The sequence below is a fragment of the Homo sapiens genome, chromosome 1 (assembly GCF_000001405.40).
Source record: "Homo sapiens chromosome 1, GRCh38.p14 Primary Assembly".
NCBI lineage: Eukaryota > Metazoa > Chordata > Mammalia > Primates > Hominidae > Homo > Homo sapiens.
Genome location: NC_000001.11, coordinates 195,140,866 through 195,147,120, shown reverse-complemented (window position 1 = coordinate 195,147,120; position 6,255 = coordinate 195,140,866). Strand labels below are relative to the sequence as shown.

General features: G+C 36.7%; 1 annotated feature.

Moving 5' to 3' along the window:
• Positions 5,555-5,755: a silencer, noted in NCBI's record as "peak624 fragment used in MPRA reporter construct". NCBI's record gives its function as "represses an SCP1 promoter by STARR-seq MPRAs in K562 erythroleukemia cells {active_cell/tissue: K562}" and the evidence as "EXISTENCE:reporter gene assay evidence [ECO:0000049][PMID:32103011]".

Here is a 6,255-nt window from a genome sequence, read left to right as displayed (position 1 = left end):
ACATAATATGCAAGGTATTTGGCTGCTGATAGTCAAATGATTCTTCAAATATTTTTTCTTTTTTAAATTGCAGATAGATACACACTTTATATCCAGGATTGCAGAAAAGCTAGTCTAATCTTTCTACAGCAACCCAATTAGGTCAGTTTAATGGCTCTTAAATAATTGGATCACTTCAATTCAAGATCTATATGCATCACTTCAAGATCTACATGATTTCAGCATTCTATATCCAAAGCAGATGCTGACTAGTAGCGGGATTAATATACATTTTATTGCAGACCAAAAGCTGTTTTTATAAGTTTGCTACATAAATTTTTCCTTAAGTTATACAAAGGATTGAAAAAAAATGTTAAAATGGAATTTGTTGCAAATTCTGCTTATTCCATCTAAAATTATGCTGAGAAATATAACAAAGGCCCCTATATAGTGCATTATTGGTGAAATATATTTTGGATTGTAAAATTTCCTTTACATTTTGTGTGCCATCCCTTCCCTTATTCCTATATTTTCTAGAATAAAAATGTTATATAATTTTTATAATGGACATTCCACTGTCTTAACAATTAATTGCTGCCAACACATTCACATAGTCATGGTTAATTATCCAAGTAAATGATGAAAAACAATGACTTCTCATTTGGGTGCCTTTATCCTCCAAACACTATAATTATTGTAAAAACTCTCAAAGTATATTCTGAGATGTATAATAAGAATTTAAATAACTATATTCAGATTATAACAAAAGAGAGAGAATACAACAGATACGGTTGGAAGTATGAGAACTCAATTATCAGCCAAATCCTAAGTTTTAGATGAACACAGTGAATTCTGAAAAAACAGACTGTTTAGCCCAAAATCACTCCACTAAGTAGCAGGCTTAAAAGCTATAATTTCATACTCTTTATTTCATAGTAGTTTCATATATACAATAGATTATTATATATACATAATAGAATATATATATATAATAGTTCTTTTATCCAAACCATAACCTCCAAAATATTTGCCACATTTTCTGAAGTTCTCCAAATAAGATGAAGAAATATCATAGGAAAATATTTTTTTGAAAATCAATGGTAAGGAAAAATTTAGTGTTTTCTAAATGTTGGCTTTGTGAACAACTGACTCCAGTGGCTTGACAGTTTCCTTGTCAGCATTTTATCAACAGAAACTTACAAACAAATACTAGTTATATGTCTTTGCTGAAAAAATGGTCAAAAATGTAATCAGAGATTTTGTTGTCCTTAAATAATGAAAACATTTTCTGAAGACCTCCAGTATATGTTATTGATCTTTTCTAAATCTTTTAAAGAATTCAAAATATCAAATATTCATTAAACACATAATGTAAATTTCACATAAAACATTATGTGCAAGTTTAATGATTTAAACTTTTAAGTTAAGGGATAATTTTAATATGTTATTTTTAAGACAGTAAGTATGGAGTCATTGTTTAAGTACAAGCGAGAAACCTCATAATTCAAACATGAACAAACATCTATCTAGCATGTTGATATACAAGGCATTGTATGCTAAGCACAGAGAAGAATTTATAGATCAATAACACATTTCATATATTTGAGGATACAATCCATTATTAAGATGCAAAGTTATTTTATATACAACTTAGAAGGAAAACTCATGCAATTAAAGTATGATACGATTCTTCGAAAAAGAACCCTGCACAACTCATGAACTCTTCTTGTCTCTTATTTCTGTTCTTTTTTAATATTATTATTTATTCCATGGACTTTCTCATTCTTTTTGCATCATTGCCTATCTTAGCATATGATAGGAAATTCCTGTGTATGTATCTCTGCAATAAAACATAACACAGTTTTATCTACCTATAAGTATATATTTTTTCTTAGTAACTATAAAATGCTTGTTGGCTTTTCAAGGAAATGTGGAATTATAGTCATTCTTCAGAGACAAATGTTTGCTTCAATTATAACAAATTATACTTCTCTGCTCTGTTGTCCTTTCTATACAATAACTTTTCATAGTAATACTGAATTAACCCAATCTCCTTGAAGACTTAAATAACAATCCAGTTTAACACATTGATTGACCACAGTGCATGCAATTCAATTGAAGTGAGAATTTTGTGAAAAGCTATAACAAAATTCACCCTTGAATCACATGATTTTCTGAGTTAAACAAAACTAAATGGAAATGCCTAAAATACATTCTTTCTGCTACATCTCTTTTCCAAATTTTGATATTATTCAATCACCTGAGATAATCATAACACCAGCAGCCAGCATCTAAAAAAGAGTGATAATTGAAACAACTTCCTAGTAAGCATGTAACATTAATTTAATTATAAATTGGAATATTTATTTAAAAATATCTCTTGGGAGGCTAAGGTGGGCAGAGCATGAGGTCAAGAGATGGAGAGCATCCTGGCCAACATGGTGAAACCCCCTCTCTACTAAAAATACAAAAATTAGCTGGGTGTGGTTGTGCATGCTTATAGTCCCAGCTACTTAGGAGGCTGAGGCAGGAGAATGACTTGAACCCAGCAGGTGGAAGTTGCAGTGAGCCAGGATCACACCACTGCACTCCAGCTTGGTGACAGAGTGAGACTCTCAAAAAAAAAAAAAAATCTCTGTGCCAAAATAATAGGTACATTAACGAGATTAACACAGTTAACATGACATATTTCAGATACTTATCTATAAAAATGCTTCAAGATGCATTTTTTAATTTAAGATTTTTTAGATAGACGTGAACCCTGCCTATGACTGATTTGCACAGAAACACAATAAATGCAACTCTAAAAACTAGATGAAATCCAAAAATGCTGACATTTGAAGGCGTTAAAAAGCATCCAAGACAGTTGAGATTTAAGGGTCAATGTAGCACAGAGGAGAGAAAAACAGCAAAGTGAACATGATATTCTCTGCTGCTTGTTTTTTTGAGACACTGCTGATTCTTAATTGATATTCAGCTTGGAGGTCAGGCAGAAAGATCAAAACTATAGCAGCCTTATGTGGCTGGACAAACATTGGAGATCAGGGATATGAAAGTGTGCTAGATTTCAGAGGTCAAGACGCCAGAAAAACCCTGAAGCTTCTGACAGGTGTGCTTGATATTGTGTCTTTACTTTTCCATAAGGTTTTTGTCATTTTCTTATGTTTGGTGGTCAAGAGTCTCATAAAAAAATAACAAAATGCAAAAACTAGGGAACTAAAGAGATACACAATGGTTCAGCATTGCAGTGAAAAAGAACAAAGATTTCTGAAATGGCAGCTTGGCATACCTTCTCCCTACTGAAATACACATTTAACAGGTTTATGTATAAACTGAACTTTCTGGAAATAGTCCTAAGACTTAACAACAAATAAACACATATTCATAAAAAATGACTAAATCTCAGTATTAAAGATGAGAGTCTACGGCACTTGAACCACAACATGCTCCTACCCTTTCTCCTCCAGATTAGTGTAACAGAAGCTTTGGTCCAGGATGTTACATCTAAGAACACAGAGCTTCCTCTTCCTCAAGGTTCCCAACTAAAGTTAAATTTTCACCCCAAGACTAGCAGTTCACAGTATCTGATTTTAATTTCATATCATGAAAATAGGCATTGAGAAGGGCAGGAGAGACAGTCTTAAATTGCAGACACCACCTGTCCTCCATTCCCTGGCAGTAGCCATGTGGCATAGAAAGAGAATCTGTGCAGTTTGTGGGGGAGAGCACAGGGACCGGAGGACTTTATGTTGAATTCAGTACTTCCCTGTCAAAGTAGATAATAAAACTGTTCTGGGCTCATTTAGCACCTGTGCACACATAGAAGGAGCATTTGGACCAGTCCTAGCCAGAGGGAAATTGTTCATCCCAGTGGTGGGAACTTCAGTTTCTTTTTTTCCTTCCTTCCTTCCCCTTCCTTCCCCCTCCCTCCCTTTCTTCCTTCCTTCCTTCCTTCCTTTCTTTCTCTTTCTTTCTTTCTTTCTTTCTTTCTTTCTTTCTTTCTTTCTTTCTTTCTTTCTTTCTTTCTCTTTCTTTCTTTCTTTCTTTCTCTTTCTTTCTTTCTTTCTTTCTTTCTTTCTTTCTTTCTTTCTTTCTTTCCTTCCTTCCTTCCTTCGTTCCTTCCTTCCTTTCTTTCCTTCTTTCCTTCTTTCTTTCCTTCCTTCTTTCTTTCTGACAGGTTCTTGCTCTGTAACCCAGGATGGAGTGTGATGGCATGATCTTGGTGCACTGTAACCTCCACCTCAAGGGTTCAAGAGGTTCTCATGCCTCTGCCTCTCAAGTAGCTGGGACTACAGGTGCATGCTACCATGCTGAGCTAATGTTTATATTTTTAGTAGAGGTGGGGTTTCAACATGTTGGCCTGGTCTCGAACTCCTGTCCTCAAGTGATCCACCTGCCTCAGCCTCCCAAAGTGCTAGGATTGCGTTCATGAACCATTATGCCCAGCCTGAACTTCATTTTCTTGGCAAGCCTCACCAATGTGGGCTGAAGTGCTTTGGGGTCCTAGGTAAATTTGAAAGGTAGTCTAGGACACAAGGACTGCAATTCCTGGGAAAACTTGCCACCCTGAAAGAAAGGGCCTTGGGCAAGGCCCAGTGCTGTACTAGCTTCAGTTCTAACCCAGTGCAGTACCAGTCGTGGTGGCCATAGACCACACCCCCAGTTTCAGGTGGTTTGGGGGAGAGAGAGAGAGAGAGGAGATAAAGACGAAGATGAAGAAGAAGAACAAGAAGAAAAAGATGAAGAAGGAGGAGGAGGAGAAAGGAGAGGAGAGCAGAGGGGAGGAGGACAGGAGGGGAGGGGAGTGGAGGGGAGAGGAGAGGAGAGACTCCATTTGTTTGGGAGAAAGCAAAGAAAAAGAATAAAGTCTTTGCCAGTAATCCAGAAATTTCTTCTAGATTTTATCCAAGATCAACAAGACAGTACCTCTAAAAGTCTGCAAAAACTATAGTATTATTGGGTTTCAGGGCTAACTTTCTTCACATACTTGGAAAGTCTTCCCAAGGAGGACAGACTAAATAAGCCCAGTCTGTGAAAATTACAATAAATACCTAACTCTTCAATGTCAAGACACCAAAGAATATTTGCAACCATCAACACCACCCAGGAAAACATGGCCTCACCAAATAAACTAAATAAGGCACCAGGTACAAATCCTAAAGAATAAAAGATATATGACCTTTCAGAGGGAATTCAAGATAGCTGTTTTGAGGAGACTCAAAGAAATTAAAGATAATAGATAAATTTAACAAAGAGATTGAAATAATTCAAAAGAATGAAGCAGAAATTCTCGAGTTGAAAAAATGCAACTGACACAATGAAGAATGAGCCAGAATCTCTTAATAGCAGAATTAATCAAGCAGAAGCGGGTTTTGGCTGCTGGCTTGGGTGGCCAGCTTTTATTCCCTTATTTGGCCCCACCCACATCCTGCTGATTGGTCCATTTTACAGAGCACTGATTGGTCCATTTTACAGAGTGCTGATTGGTGTGTTTTTACAGAGTGCTGATTGGTGCATTTACAATCTTTTAGCTAGACAAAAAAGTTCTCCAAGTCCCTACTTAACCCAGGAAGTCCAGTTGGCTTCACCTCTCAATACCCGCTTTAAACAGGACACCACAACTGCTGCTGGGAATTGGGCGATGACCACTCTAGCTACTTCCTGCTGAATGGTGGTGAATAAGGGGCCCTGCAGTTGTAGTGTCCTACACAGGGGAACTCTTTAGGCCAGTGAAAGGTCCAGGGGTCCTCAGTAGAAGTTGTTAATTGAGCTCATTTGGGGTTTCATTAGTAAGACCATCTGTAGCTTGATGGCCTCAATCCTAGGGGAAACAAATTTGACAAGGAGGTTAAAAATACAGGGCCCGAAGGCAAGTAATAGCAAGATGGCTGTCATGGGACCTAGAAAGGGGAGAAGGCATAATTGACCAACTCCAGAGGTTGGTATAAGAGTTTGAAAGGCATTGTCTGATTTCAGAAGCCTTTTCCTGTAAACACTGGACAGATCTTATACTATCCCTGACTGGTTAGTGTAAAAACAACACTCTTCCCCTAAGAAGGTACAGAGTCCTCCTTTCTCAGCAGTGAAGAGGTCTAAGCCTTGGTGGTTTTGGAGAGTCACTGCTGCCAAAGAGTCTATTTCGGATTGTGGAGTAAAGATAAGTTCTGTTATTTCTTGTCTGAGAAATCCTTTGAGAGTGTGTGGTAGTAGGATAATACATGTTACACTGTTAACTTTTAGCACACTTTACTTTTGTTGAAAACCTTGTAAATTTGG